Genomic DNA, 15006 nt, shown 5'->3' with positions numbered 1-15006 from the left:
TGGGGAAAAATTGATGTCACATAGTAGCACACCCTAACTTCACAACTAAAAAATATTTTTAAAAAATAAAATTCAAGAAATATTTTACAACCCAAAGCAAATTATATCTTAAAAAAACAAAACAAAACAAAACAAAGATGTAGTACCTGTCCTATTTTCCTCACTCTCTTATTCACTCTTAACAATATAACTTAAGGAACTTAGTTACCAATATTCAGTTAATTCTTCCTGTAAGTCAAAACATCCACATTAACAATTTACCTGGCTCTTTGCTGCATTTCCAATGGCTCGAGTTCTTGATCCCAATGATATACAGGCCCTAAACCAGAAAAACAAAAAGTTTGTTCCATGGTACTTTTATATTATTGTGCTATTATTTTGCTTCTCCTTATAAGAAAATGAATTTAAAAGGAGAAATATAACCATATATTATTTTAAAAATAGGTTATGCAAATCAAAAATTTATTTTAAAGTTTCCCTATATAATAAAATGGTGGTCAGAATAAATGTTACAATTTTTTAAAAAAGTCCTAATAGCTGGCAATACAATGTTGATCTCCAAAATTGTTTTTCAAATTACACTGATCTATGACCCATTAAAAGAAAACTCAACCGTGTTGACCAATGGATTTTCAGGGAAGGTAAACAGTTAAAAAGGCTAAATCCTGGCTTTGCCACTTAACCTTGTGGAAATTACATAACCACTGGGTGCTTCAGCTTCTTGTCTGGAAGATTGTGATAATATCTGCTCATATGGTTATGTGAGAATTAAGAGAATGGATATAGGTAAATGCTTTGAACAATAATTGGCACATAGTAAACATTATGTAAATTCTTGTATTTTAATTACCACATTTAAATGTAATAGCATGGAATAATAACACAGAGCAAGCACAGAATAACATCTTCATCAAAATACCATTTAATGTTATGATTCAAGAAAATGTTTCTGTGATTTCAGTTATAACTACAGAAAACTACATTCAATCAACAAACATTTATAGGCACTCCATGTATACAAGTCACAATACCTGTCTGGGAGAATGTATAGTCTATTGAAAAAAAATCAATAGAATATATAGAATTATGAATAATACTAGCAAAGAAGAGAATAATTACTTCTAGATAAGAGAGGTGACTTCTTGAATTAGGACTTGAGGGAAAACATTTAATATCTATTTGTCTTGCAGAAATAGACATTCCTGATATATAGGTATGTAAGTCTGTTCTCCATATAGTAGCCAAAGTGATCCACTTAAAAACTAAGATCATGAAACTCTGCTGTTCTCTGATGATGAAATAATCCTCCAATGGTGCCCTATCTCACAAAGTAAAAGCTTGGGTCCCCCTAACAGCCAATAAGGCCTTTCATGGTCCAGTCCTTGGCTGCTCTACCCTGCAAATTCAATCTAGGCACACTGGTCTCCTTGCTATTTCTAGAATATGCCAAGCACCCTTTTGCCTCAGGGCCTTTGTAAATGCTGTTCTCTCTTTCTGAAGTGTTCAGAAAATACATCCATGTGGCTGGTGCTCTCACTCCTTTCAGGTCTCTGCTCAAATGTCAGCTTATCAGAAACACCTATCCTCACCATCCTATATAAAAAACATTCCTGCTCCTCCCCAACACATACCTCACACTGTTAACCCAATTTTATTTTTCTCCATAGTATGTATTACCATCTGATACAATTCATTTAGTGACTGTATCTCAGTACCAGAAGCCAGAACGTGAACTCTATGAAGGCAAGGTAACAGGTATCCACTGCCTTGATCTGCACTATCTAATATGGTAGCCACAAGCCATGTGGTGCTAGTACAATTTCAATTAACTAGAATATTCAGTTTCTCAGGACTAGTCACATCTCAGGTGCTCAACAGCCACATGTGGCTAGCAGATATACAGAGAACTGAATATACAAGAACAAATATACCACAGAAAGTTCTACTGGATAGCACTAGCCTAGATCTTCTAGCCTAGATCTTTTTCAAGGACATAATAAAGCTACATAATGAATGGAATAATGGTTCCTAAGGTAATGCTCATTTGAGGACTAGAAGAATATAATTTGGACTCAGCCAGGGAGAAAACAAAAAGAATACAACTTGGCTAGTTTCATAGGACAATTTGATAAGATAGTATCAAGGCCAGATTATATAGGGTCTCAGGTGCCAGATTATAATCTTAAAATTTATTCAGTTAATGAGGATTAAATTTCAATGAGGATTCATTAAATGTTTCTGAATAATGGAGAGGACCCTACATACTGATACATAATACAAACTGGAGAGGCAATATTCCAGAGCAGTGCTTTCCAAGGGCTGAACAAAACACTGTTCTGCTGGGGACTACTGGATTTTCAGAGAAAGCAAACAGTTAAAAAGTTAATTTAGTCAATTTAACAGATGTTTGTTAATAATTACTATATGCCTGGCACACTGTTAGTTGCTAGGGATATAATAATGAAAGAAAACATGGTTTTGGCTCTCTTGGATCTCACAATGCTATAGACTCACACAAAAGAAAGTAAACTAGGTGCTATAACAGAAGGTGAACATGGTGCTATAAAAGTTTGTAACAGCAAGAATTAACCTAGAGGAGGAGAGTCAGGAAAGGCTTACCCAAGGAAATAAGATTTTAAGGAAGAGTAAATGATGATGGGATAAAAGTGGTAGAGAGTTTGTTGGAGATCATATTGACTGTAGTGTTAACTGATGAGAGGAGAGCAAAAAGTTACCAGTAGTCTATATCAGGATGGTGACAGCTGGGACACAAGAAGAAAGAAGAGATATTCAGGAGGAAACTTAAAGGACTTGGTGACAGACTAGATCTTCACCATCCCATATGGCAGCCACTAGCCACCAGCCATATGTGGTTATTATGCACATGAAATGTGGCTAGTCTGAATTGAGATGTGCTTATATAAAGTGCAAAATAAACTTTAGACCATGGGTGTCCAACCGTTTGAATGCAGGGACTCTTTTGTCTGTGGTGGCAGATATCACAAAAATTATGGATGGACCTTTTTTCTAGCTCATCAGCTATCTTTAGTGTTAGTGTATTTTATGTGTGGCCCAAGACAATTCTTCTTCTTCCAATGGGGCCCAGGGAAGCCAAATGGTTGGACATCTGTGCTCCAGATTCTAAAAATTTAATACTAAGTAAAATATCTCAATTTAAAAATATTGATTACATATTGAGATAAAATTTTGGATATACTGAATTAAATAAAATATATTAAAATTAATCTCACTTGCTTCATTTTGCCTTTTTAATTATTGGAACTTTTTTTTTTTGGAGACAGGGTCTTGCTCTGTCACCCAGGCTGGAGTGCAGTGGCGTAATCTTGGCTCACTGAGGCCTTGACCTGCAGGGCTCAAGCGATCCTCCTATCTCAGCCTCCTGAGCAACTAGGACTACTGGCTGATTTTTAAAATTTTTTGTAGAGATAGGGTTTCACCATGTTGCCCAGGCTAGTCTCCTAGGCTCAAGTGATCCACCTGCCTTGGCCTCCCAAAGTGCTGGGATTACAGGTGTCAGCCACTGTACCTGGCTCTATTAAAACATTTAAAATTACCTATGTAGCTCATATGCTTTTATTGGACAGTGCTGGACTAGATAGTAAGAAGAGGCAAGTGACAGTAATAATATCTAGGTTTCTAGTTGCACTCAATGAGACAGAAAATTTTCTAAGAAAGATAGGTTTGGGGACAGGACAGTCACAAACTCTATTGTGAACACATTAGGCTTGAGGTAAGTTTGAGGCATCCAAGCAAATATATATTTAGAACTGAAATGTTAAAAGTGATGGTCAAATTAAAGAGGAAATGGAAGTTACTAGTCTTTAGTTGTGATTTGGTGAAAAACAGGAAAATAAGGGTATAGCAGGAATCAGTGGCTTAGATGACATCTTCACATCTCTTATAAATAACTCCTTGATTCAACATATTCTCTGCCAGAGTAAAAATTTACATATCCAATTTGGTAATGTGTGGATGTTGGCATTCCATCCTAAAACTCATCTATTAGAGAAAATATGCGTTTGCCATTTCTCAGCCTACCTTATAACTCATCTTGCTCCCAACTCCATTATTTGGACACACTTTCAAATACTTCTAATTTTTCAATACTAGGCTACCATCACTTGACTACACTGAAAATCTTATTTGTAGGTTGATTCTCAAGAGTTTAATTTTTGTTAGAACAGTAGAGCCAAAGAAGATTCAGATTCAACTATCATTAAGCGCTGGTTCCTTGAAATGTGTTTCATACATGTATCGCTTCACAAAGAAAGCTAAACAGTTACCAGTATGAGATATTCTCTGAAGTTGAAAGCAGACAACTTTTAAAGTTAAAAAATCTGTCATTTAACCAGGCTTGGAAATGCCCAGTTTAAAATACATAGAAAACCCATTTTATAAAGGCACCCTTCAAACTCCTTCGATTTTCTTTCAAATACATTCCAGGATGTTACAATCATGAAATAAAAAATACCTGCCAAGTATTTTCAGAAAAACCCAAATAAATTAAACACATATTTGCTCTCAAAACTTTTATATTAGTAATAGCAAGGGAAACAGACACATTATAACACATATTAGGCTGATGTAAGAGTTTTCACAGAAAAAGATACAGTTTATCCAAGTGTATACAGCATAATCTATATTATACTTTGTATTGATTATTTCAACTACTATTTAGAAATGTCATTTTATGGCTAAAATAAAGGGAGGGTTTTCTTTTTTTTTTTGAGACAGAATCTCGCTCTGTCGCCCAGGCTGGAGTGCAGTAGCGCAGTCTCAGCTCACTGCAACCTCCACCTCCCGGGTTCACGCCATTCTCCTGCCTCAGCCTCCCGAGTAGCTGGGACTACAGGCACCCGCCACCATGCCCGGCTAATTTTTTTTGTATTTTTAGTAGAGACAGGGTTTCACCATGTTAGCCAGGATGGTCTTGATCTCCTGACCTTGTGATCTGCCCGCCTCAGCCTCCCAAAGTGCTGGGATTACAGGCGTGAGCCACCGTGCCCGGCCAGGGACGGTTTTCAATGCAGTTTAAATCTATAATATCCAATCTGCTCTTGCTATTGTGTGGTAATCTCAGACTATCAGAAAATACCACAAAATTCTAAACAATGAAGATTTCTAAATGTCCTATGTTCCTTTTAGTAGGAGAGGGGCATAAAAATCAGATGACAAGATGCTACTTTAAGAAAGCTGTATCTGTATTTTCTCTTTAAAATTAGGATTTTCTTCTTCTCTCAAAAAGCTAATTTTTATAAGGCCAAGCGTAATTAGGTTGGAGAAAATACATACTACCAGAAGAGATTTGTTGCCTAAAAGCTCAGTACTAAGTTTGTTTGCTCCCTATTATTCTCCATTAAGATTCAATCCTCACTCTCTAATCTTTAAAAACAGCCCTTTTCTTTTCCTTGCCAGTTCCATAAAATCACAATTACTCTTTACCCTCTGCTATCATTGTAATCCATAGGTTTAAATCAAAGGCTGAACAAATAGTTTCAACTATGCTTGCCAAGATGTGTACAGAGCAGGATTTCTCTACCTTGGCACTACTGACATCTTGGCCCAGATAATTCTTTGTTGGGTCACTGGGGCTGTACTGTAATGCACTGTCGGATATTAGGAGTATTCCTAGCCTCCAACCACTAGATGCCAGTAGTACCTCCTCTTTAGACCTCAGTTGTGACATACCCCAAAATATCTCAGATTCTGTCAGTTATCCCTTCAGAGGCAAAATCACCTCCAGTTGAGAACCTCTGCCCTAGAACAACATTTCCCAAATAGTGTTCTATGAAACATAATTCCTCAGACGTTCAAATAAGCTTGGGAAAAACATCCCTTTCTTGGAGAATTTCAATGCTTATGAACAAATTAAGGGATCTACAAAATTCTACAGCAAAGAAAACATCTGGATATTGTTTCTCAAATTATTTGGAAAAAATGTTGCCCTAGAAGGGGGAGGGGGAAGAATGCTCTAAAAAAAACTCACTGCTGCAATTTGCTTTCTAGCTTGCTACTTAAAAATAAGACTTCTGGGCACATATGATTTAGTAATAACAAAGCTTTCAGCTTTTCATTATGGACAAATAATTAAACATTTAACAATATATAAACAATAATAATTTAAGAGTTTTCAAATGCTTAGTAAAGGTAATCATAAATAAATTAGCTTGAAGCCATTAGTAGAAACCACACAAATATTTACATAGGTAGACAATATTTTAAAAGCTGATTAGGTATACTAGCTACATTAAATTTGATACATTATTTAACTATTAAATTATTATATTAGATATATTATTTGAAAAACTCATATTACCTATAATTCACTTGGTTCAAACACAAATATCAATGCGTAACAATGTTAAAATTCTTTTGGTTATAATTGTTTAGACCAGGAGTTTGCAAACTACCACTACCTGCAACCTATTTTTGTAAATAAAGTTTCATCACAACACAACTATACTCATTAATTTATAATGACCACATATTAAAAGACTATCAGTGCTATATTAAACCTTTTTTTTTTCAGTGCTTAAGGAAGTCAGTTCAATGTTAAACATTTAGAAATAACCTGGCTTTTCACTCATCTCAGCAAATTTGATTTAAAAAAAGCAAAGGTATTCACTGAATTTTTATATGTCGCTAGCAAAATATTAACTTGAAATGTCCAAAACAGTCACTGTATCAATGGGATACTATACAGCTAGCAAAAAGAATGAAGTAAATTAGAGCCATAAGTTTGAGATGTCCACAATATTTTGAGGTGAAAAGAAAGCAATTTGCAAAATACTTAAAAACTATTTTTTAATGAAAGCAGAATGTAATGTAATTCTGCTTTTGTTAAAAAATCCCAGTTATGTACATATAATCACATACTTGTATAGCTAGAAACATAAATCAAACTTTAGGATGTGGTTGGGAAGGGATGAAGGGGGAGACTTACTTTGTGTAATTCTTCAGCATTTAAAATATTTTAAATAAAATATAAGCTCAAATAGTAAAACATATAAAACCAACTCATGTAGTAAAAAGAATATTTAACAAAAAAAGGTAAAAGCCTCTTCTTCATCCCAAACTGCCATCACCAGAAAATGCCCATCTATTATAGCCACAGTTAACCCCCCGATTTGGCATTTTCTATGTGCTGTTGTTTTCAGTGCACCAAAGTGATTTCTATTTTCATGCATTTAAGAGGGGTCTCACTCATCTGAAACAGTGTTTAAACAGCATTTTCCCATATTTCCAGATTATTCATATGCTAGTAAAGAAATAGGAAAAAATAAGATAGAAAACCAGAGAACTGAATATTGAAGAATCATAAAGAATTTTGATGATAAAATATTCCTAACAAAAATCTTGACACAGTTTCATTTAAAGAAAATCCATATTCCCTATTACAAAGTATTAATTACAGACTATAAATTAAAAGCACCTCCTCCATAATTCTACCTCTGAGAAGTATCTATCCATTATTAATAGTAGTTTATTGTCTTCCACACTACTTTTTCTCCAAATGTTTACACTAATATGTTTTGTATGTATTTTTTATGAATTTTAAAAACAAAGTAAGATTTTTACATGTCCTTAACATAACTTAAAAGAATTACTGGCCAGGCACGTTGGTTCACGCCTATAATCCCAGCACTTTGGGAGGCCAAGATGGGAAGATGGCTTGAGGCCAGGAGTTCGAGACTAGCCTAGGCAATATGGCAAGACCTTGTCTCTGTTGGAAAAAAATAAAATTAGTGTGGCATGGTGGCATGCACCTGTAGTCCTAGCTATTCAGGAAGCTGAGGTGGGAGGATCCTTTGAGCCCAGGAACTCAAGGCTGCAGTGAGCTATGACTGTACCACTGTACTCCAGCCTGGGCAACAGACCAAGACCCTGTGTCAAAAAAATTTTTAGGAATTATTAAAATAATGTTTTTAAAAAAGATAGTATTTCTTAAAAACTAGCTAAAATTAGACATTTATTGATGGTAGAGCAAAGATGCTTTCCTGTACAATAACTGCTCAACCAGGTAATTTGTTCCTTTCATCATTAACCTAGTTACGTATATGCCATCCTTACAACAATGGATACTGGAAAGACATTTGGGTTCTAGGGTCAGAGAGGCCTGAAACAGAATCCAATTCATTGTTTTACTAATTTTTGGCCAAGTGATTTAACTTTGCTTTAGGCTTCTTACGGAAAAAAAAGATAGTTAGTATGATCAAACTCACAGAATTGTGATACATATGACAATGCTTGCTTAGCACATAGCAATCACTATTCCAATTTACCACACGCTTTAATTTGATACTTAATGACGATTCTTGGCTATCATTTTTTTCCCCATGTGTGAAACTAATCACCTTGGTATACTTAAGCCTGGGATGGAAATTCTAATTGTTTTAAGTAACAATGCAGACATGTACCAGGCCTTTAAAAATGTGGACACTCAGTAATTCTACTTCTAGGAATTTACTTGAAGGATCAAAAATTTAGTTACAAAGATAGTTATTGCAACACTGTTTACAAAGTATCATAAACAACCTGAATTATTAGGCTATGGATTAAATTATCATGATTATACAGACACTACAACTGATAGTATAGAAATATGTATGTTTTACATAGAAAAAGGTTACTAAACATAGGCTGGGTGCAGTGGCTCACACCTGTAATCCCAGCACTTTGGGAGGCCGAGGCGGGTGGATCACCTGAGGTCAGGAGTTCGAGACCAGCCTGGACAACATGGTGAAACCCCGTCTCTACTAAAAATACAAAAATAGCTAGGCGTGGTGGTCGTTGCCTGTAATTCCAGCTACTCGGGAGGCTGAGGCAGGAGAATCGCTTGAACCCAGGAGGCGGAGGTTGCAGTGAGCTGAAAACGCGCCACTGCACTCTAGCCTGGGCAACAAGAGCAAGACTACGTCTTAAAAAAAAAAAGAAAAAAAGAAAAAGGTTACTAAACATAAAGTAAATACTTCCCCTTCCCTTTGAAAACACACACAGAAAACCATCTGGAGGAATTAAATTTTTAATTTCACCTTTTAATGTGCCAGTATTTTTTATAATGAGCACATATTATTATGTAATAATTTTTCAATAAGATGTTCAGGAAAATTATTTTGTCTCTTCAATTTATGCAGGTTAATTTCTCTCTCCCTCTTCAACTTATGCAGGAGATGAGAGGCTAGTATAAACACTCTAACTTTACAGAAGGTGAATCTGAATTAAATAGGTTAAATTAACTTGTCTTTTGTCCCTTAATTATAGGCCAAAACTTGGTTCTTTTTCATTAAACTGTCCTTCTTGGTTTATATGGAATCCTCTCAACCATAAGCAATCAAATATGTTAATGAAAGAAACGTAAAATGTATGAATGCTGAAAACAACTAAATTGAACATTTCTTTCCTCTTTTCATAGGATCATTTTATAATGTATTCACATCTTAGAAAATATGTCACATTACCTTGATGTAAGCAATTGGAATATGAAAAACATTTTATTTGCAAAGCTAACATTTTATTTATGTGTGTTATTAAATACTGTGGTGTATTAGAGAAGTTAAAGGTTATCTAATAGTTACAATGCTTTTTGCATGATCGGTGTTGAATTGATGGATAAATGTCCTGAGGCCCGGAAGGGCTATGTTTTTCCTCAACAATTGGACCCACAAAGTAATACATAGTGTAAGAGCACTACACTACCATGAAGTACTTTTGTTCAGAAACAACAAAAGATACACTTCTGAGGTAAGTGACAGTGCCCAGCCATGGAGAGAAGAGTTGCTGATGCAAGCTAAGTGAGAATATCCTTTCACTTTTTAAGAACTTTCTAGTTTAGATTAGGCTCATTAAATCTAGATATTACTATTGGCTTTCTAGCACACAAATCAGAAATATCACATTACTTCTCAACCACACAGAACCAGCGAATATGCCTAAGTACAATAACAAAGAGACTTTTAGAAGACTCTAGAAGCCCACTTTTTAAAGAACTAAGTCTGGCCGGCCAGGATCTTTAAAGAATCACAGGTTCACTCACTGCTAAAGAGATTTCTCAGCCTGGAAATGCAGATCGATCTTTCTTACTGTTCTGGTTTCTGATCTTTTAGGATATGGCTTTAAGGACTAAAAGAATGTCCACCCTACCTCTCAGTTTTTTCTCTATAGGTTGAGAGTCAATGAAGCCAAAGATTGCTCCCATTTTTAACCCCTACTCTGCTGAAGGTGGAGAGTGGAATTTCCGGTCTGTTTCTGGCGAAAGCCAGTATTTGTTGTGGCTTAATATAAAACCTTGTAGAGACGAATTCATCGACTTCACAGTTACTGTTTCGGCCTCTCACTGTGCATAAAAGCCAGAAAAAGATGTAAAAAGTAGAAGAGTTCAAACATTATTGAGGATTACCTTATCTATGCCCATGTATTGAAAATATAAACGTCCAAAACGTTTAAAATTTCAATAGAAGAAACGTGTACATCTACGAAAAAAGGTATAAAACCTTCTAGAATCTTCTTGGAAAGAAATCAAAGCACAGACTGCTTCAAGTGAGCTACTCTTCAACATCTTTTTGCCATATTTTAAAGCTTTCCATAGAATAGTAAATGAGGCATTTAAAGACCATTGGACACTGACCTTGTTTTAGTATAGTTAAGGTATTATATTTTGGACCATTCAGAACGGTCAAATTAAGATGCCAAATTACCTTTCCATAAAAAGTAATATAGGTTTCATACAGTTGGTTTCCTCATAAAATTACCAGTAACAGCAGCCTATAAGCAGCAACTAGTTTTTCATATTTCAGAATTACTTCATTATATTCCTTGCCAACAAACTTCCCAGGCCAGAGAAACAACGGAACATGTGGAAACATGTTTCCATGACATAACGCCGCTCCTCCTAAGCCTTTCATTAAGCGTTCATAATAGAATCACTCCACAGTCATGTTTATACGGGACAGCTGCCCCCGACTCCGGCAATTCACTCTGCAGAAACACGCTTTTGGTCCGACCCAACCCCGCCGCATTCCAGCAACTGACGTAGTTACCAATGCACAAGGCCAGTGACTCCCATCCCGAGGCTCTCCCTATCAATGCACCATTGACCTGGCCCTGTAAACCGGCTCCATTACCTGCAGTTCTCAAGGGCACTGGGTTTTGTAAAACCCCACATGCCTCACTCCCCGCCCTTAAAAAAAAAAAAAAGGCTTTCGGGGCCAGATGAACCTGCAATTCATCTCTGACGTGTGCAGCCGAAGCTGACTTTTTACTTTTCTGAGAAAAAGCTGTCACCCAGAGGGACGGGGAAAGGAAGGAGGGCAGCTGGCGCGGGGCCGATAATCCCACGTAAACCTCGTTAGAGGCAACCGGAGATCTTTCTCAATATTCCGGACGCCAGGGGCTGTCCCACAGCAACCTCTTCCTCGCAAGCAAAAGAGGCGTTGGGGGACAGCGGCACGAGGCAGGGGACGTGCGTAGGTACAGAAAAGAGAGCTGCGCAAACTAGTGCGGTCCCTCGTCCTTGAAGGAAAAGAAGCTTTGCGGGGCGAGGAAGTCCGACTGCCACCCGGCGGTCTCTAGGGACTGCGGTTGACGGGTTGCACCTGTCATCTCGGGGTTCGGCGCACGTTAGGGGAAAATCCGAGGAAGCGAGCAGACAGGACAAACGTTAAGGACGGGAGAGAAAAACGTTTCTTAGGGTCGAGGTGATGCTCAGCAGAGGCACTTACGGGGTACACCTGTCGCTGTACTCATTGGCGATGGTCTCGATGCCGCCACTTCTCGCGACAGCAATGTAGCAGTTGAGAAAGCCGAGGTCAATGCCAACCACAGACATCCCGCCGCGTGATGGTCGGGCTGCTGGTACTGAACCCTTCGGTACGGGAACCGTGTCCTCTTCTGGGCTATTGCTGCTGGGATTGCGACTCCTACCAGAAGCAAACGAGAGGGGACCCCAAGTCGCTAAGCAGAAAATCTAGGGCAGGGAGTCGGAAACCCGCGGAAGGAGCAGAGGCCGTCAGCGCCGCAGCCTGCACCGCGTCCCGCAGCCTGGGTCTTTCCCTACTGCGGTTCGGCCGCCTCCAACCGGCGGTTACTGGGACCTGCGCCTGCGCGCTCGGCTGCCCGGGAGGCGCGCGAGCCTCCGCTCCGCGCCCGAGCCAGCTCCGGGCCCGGACTTCGGCCGCTTCCGTCAGCACTCGGGCAACGGCTGCCCAAGAAGCTGCGGGTTCGAGAAAGATCTGGAAAATGGAGGCTGCTGAGCTATCCGGGGGCGGGAGAAGCGGGAAGGCGGGGCGGGGAGGATCGGGGAAAGGAGGCTAGGCACATTGGCTTGCTCGCCCTCGCTCGGCAGTAGGACGTCGGGCGGTCGGGCTAGGTGAGAGGCAGGCGACCGGCCGGCCCGGGGCTTTGCGAACGTGTTTTGAGGCACATTTTTGGGTTGTTTTGGCAACCGGAGGCGTGCTTGTCACGGCGGCAGGATGCTGTCCTGGCTGGCGGGCGCCGCCCCCTCACCCCCTGCCCTCAGAAGGGCTCGCCCGCAGGCCTCGCCTCCCCGAGGGGCCCATGTGCAGCCCGGCGCCCTCCCCTTGTGGCTGGAGGCCCGCCGCGCCCGGCTCTGTGAGGTGGCGCGCATTGTCCGACGTCCGCCGCTCCGCCCTGTCCAGCCCCGGGGGAGCTGCCGAGCCCGGGACAGACTCTTGTGCGAAAGCGGGATGAGCACATGTTAGGTTTTTTTCTTTTTTCATCAGCAGGATTTGAAATATCAAAAGTCAAACTTCTGTCAAGAAATAAGATCACACTGACAACTTTCCCTCCACGTACCTTTCCTCACACCTTTCTAAAAGATGCTGGCCCCGCCGCTGACCCTTGTCTCTGGAAACCAGTTTTACAGGAAAGTGACCTTAATTAAGTGTGCCACTCACACCAGCCAAGTCTGTGCTTTAGCCTCCAGCCGCTGCCCTGTGGTCCTCAAAAAAGAGCCCAGTGTGGTCCAGCGCCCTCCCTCTTGGTTTGATCGGCATGTGTTGCCTGTCTGTAATTAACCAAGTTTTATGTTACACTTAAGAAATTTGGCTGTCTTGTTGCTTTTCGTTCACTTTTACGTGTGTGCCCTGTTCCTTCTCTGCCAGTCCTTGGTCTGTTCCCTGTTCCTCCCCGTCCTCTTCATCTAGTCTCTGTTCCTTCTCATCCAATTCTTTGTGTGTTTTCCTGTTCCATTTTGGTATCCATCTTGAAAACAGGCGTGTTTTTTTGTTTGTTTGTTTTGTTTACTAGATTCTTTAGTATTCTGATTATCCCTAGTTGTCCACTTCTTTAAATAACTTAGATTTTTTACTATTAATAATGTTGCTACAGCAGCAGCAGCAGCAAGGGTGGCTATAGTTCCTGCTGCTGTTAGAATGAACGTGAAATCCATTTTCAAGGGCAATACTGAGGCAACTGGATTGTACAGTATTGCTTGGGCTCTGGTCTCTACATTGAAGAAATCAATCAGGCCTCTCTTCCCTTCATGAGCACTCAGGAGACGTGGAGCCCCTGGGTGAAGCTGCGCTCTGAGACACCGCAGAACTCGGCGTCCCAGCGGGCAGCTCGTGAGCAGAACAGGGATTGGGCGTTGCCCTGCGACTGAACCCTGGGCCCTGGTCCTGCTGGGCGCCTGTGACTTCCACCAGTTCTCCTCACACACCTCTTCTGACATCGGCCATCACTATCTAGATTTATTCCAGAATATCCTGAAATTCTCCTAGTACAATTAATTTATCTTAATTCCATTAGTTTATCCATGTTGTCTATACAACTTGAGGGTGTAAGAATGTTTTTTTTTTTTCCTATTAAAAATACCACTTAAAATATCAAAGTAAAAAGGAAGTTGAGGCCAGGAGCAAAGTGGTGTTATCATCACGTTCCTTACAATTACTGGCAGGACGTGAGAGTACCCAGTGGTTAAAACCATGACGGGCTTTGGGGTCACACAGATTTGGGTTGTAGTACCAGGCTTGCCTAACTTACTACCTGTATAACGTTTGGCAAGTTACTTAATGCTCCAAGCCACAGGTTCAGTCTGTTAAAATGAGGACAAATATGCCTACTGGGCTGTTTTTATGATTAAATAATGTAAGCACTGCATCAGTCCCTGGCACCAAACGGTCAATAAATGCTAGCTATGCTTAGCTGCTGAATGATCCTGATTCATGTACATTGGTCATGTATCCAGCAACCTTGCTGTATTCTAAATTCAAGTATTTGCAGAATTTCTTGGATTTTCTGTGTATAGAACAATATGGCCTGGGAAATAATGAATTTCTTCATTTCTATTTCTTCTGTTTCTTATTGTTTTGCCTGGATTATGTTGCTTAAGTGCTCCAGTAAAATTTTGAAAATAAACAGTAGTGGTAAGCATCCTTGTCTTGTCCCTAACATTAAATACCTTTGTGTTTATGATGTAAGAAAGTTAACAAAATTATCTTCTATTCCTACTTTGCTAAGAGATTTTTCTCATAAAATCCACTCACACGCCTGTAAGTGGATACTGAAACTTAACAAATGTTAACCATCATCTAATGACCTGTTTGTTGCCCTTTAATTTGTTAATACAATGAATAACGTTACTAGAGTTTTCTAACATCCTTGTATCCCTGGGATAAACCAGAAAGGCCATGATGGTTCTGATTGTTTTGGCTTGTGATTATTTTATGAAGGATCTTTACATCTATATTCATAAATGAAACTGGCCTTTTTCTTTCTTTACTCTTTTTATTGGCGTCAAGATTATCGCCTCATAGAGGAAGCCAAAGGGGTTTCCTCTTTTTTGTTCCCTTCTGATAGTTTTGGTAAGAAAAGCCTGTAAACCGGCTGGGCGGGGTGGCTCACGCTTGTAATCCCAGCACTTTGGGGGCCGAGGCGGGCGGATCACCTGAGGTCAGGAGTTTGAGACCAGCCTGACCAACATGGCGAAAACCCATCTCTGCTAAAAATACAAAATTAGCCGGGCGTGGT

General features: G+C 39.5%; 1 protein-coding gene across 5 annotated transcripts in view, besides 7 other annotated features; it reads right to left on the bottom strand.

The window, feature by feature from the left end:
- The window catches only part of HSPA4L (heat shock protein family A (Hsp70) member 4 like), a 58938-nt gene extending 46338 nt beyond the window's left edge, over nucleotides 1-12600 (bottom strand). For 3 of the 5 annotated variants that reach the window (NM_014278.4, NM_001317383.2, XM_011531745.4), the window contains exons 1-2: nucleotides 11739-12074; nucleotides 262-319 (exon numbers count right to left, since the gene is read on the bottom strand). In NM_014278.4, coding sequence (NP_055093.2) covers nucleotides 262-319; nucleotides 11739-11845 — 165 coding nt within the window. In that variant the 5' untranslated portion in view covers nucleotides 11846-12074. Of the gene's footprint in view, nucleotides 1-261; nucleotides 320-10715; nucleotides 10874-11738; nucleotides 12075-12334 lie in introns of those variants that run through there. The other 2 variants (NM_001317381.2, NM_001317382.2) reach the window with 2 other exon arrangements.
- Nucleotides 9673-9912: an enhancer, noted in NCBI's record as "active region_21886". NCBI's record gives its function as "activates an Ori minimal core promoter by ATAC-STARR-seq in GM12878 lymphoblastoid cells {active_cell/tissue: GM12878}" and the evidence as "EXISTENCE:reporter gene assay evidence [ECO:0000049][PMID:35858748]".
- Nucleotides 11012-12004: an enhancer, noted in NCBI's record as "H3K27ac-H3K4me1 hESC enhancer chr4:128703547-128704539 (GRCh37/hg19 assembly coordinates)". NCBI's record gives its function as "activates a minimal SCP1, AML or CMV promoter by ChIP-STARR-seq in naive H9 embryonic stem cells {active_cell/tissue: H9 hESC(naive)}" and the evidence as "EXISTENCE:reporter gene assay evidence [ECO:0000049][PMID:30033119]".
- Nucleotides 11012-12053: a biological region, named in NCBI's record as "H3K27ac-H3K4me1 hESC enhancer GRCh37_chr4:128703547-128704539".
- Nucleotides 11324-11403: an enhancer, noted in NCBI's record as "active region_21885". NCBI's record gives its function as "activates an Ori minimal core promoter by ATAC-STARR-seq in GM12878 lymphoblastoid cells {active_cell/tissue: GM12878}" and the evidence as "EXISTENCE:reporter gene assay evidence [ECO:0000049][PMID:35858748]".
- Nucleotides 11904-12053: an enhancer, noted in NCBI's record as "active region_21884". NCBI's record gives its function as "activates an Ori minimal core promoter by ATAC-STARR-seq in GM12878 lymphoblastoid cells {active_cell/tissue: GM12878}" and the evidence as "EXISTENCE:reporter gene assay evidence [ECO:0000049][PMID:35858748]".
- Nucleotides 12194-12263: a silencer, noted in NCBI's record as "silent region_15674". NCBI's record gives its function as "represses an Ori minimal core promoter by ATAC-STARR-seq in GM12878 lymphoblastoid cells {active_cell/tissue: GM12878}" and the evidence as "EXISTENCE:reporter gene assay evidence [ECO:0000049][PMID:35858748]".
- Nucleotides 12544-12713: a silencer, noted in NCBI's record as "silent region_15673". NCBI's record gives its function as "represses an Ori minimal core promoter by ATAC-STARR-seq in GM12878 lymphoblastoid cells {active_cell/tissue: GM12878}" and the evidence as "EXISTENCE:reporter gene assay evidence [ECO:0000049][PMID:35858748]".

The sequence above is a fragment of the Homo sapiens genome, chromosome 4, assembly GCF_000001405.40.
Source record: "Homo sapiens chromosome 4, GRCh38.p14 Primary Assembly".
Lineage (NCBI taxonomy): Eukaryota > Metazoa > Chordata > Mammalia > Primates > Hominidae > Homo > Homo sapiens.
Note: the sequence above shows the minus strand (reverse complement) of the source record. Positions and strands in the feature narration are given on the sequence as shown.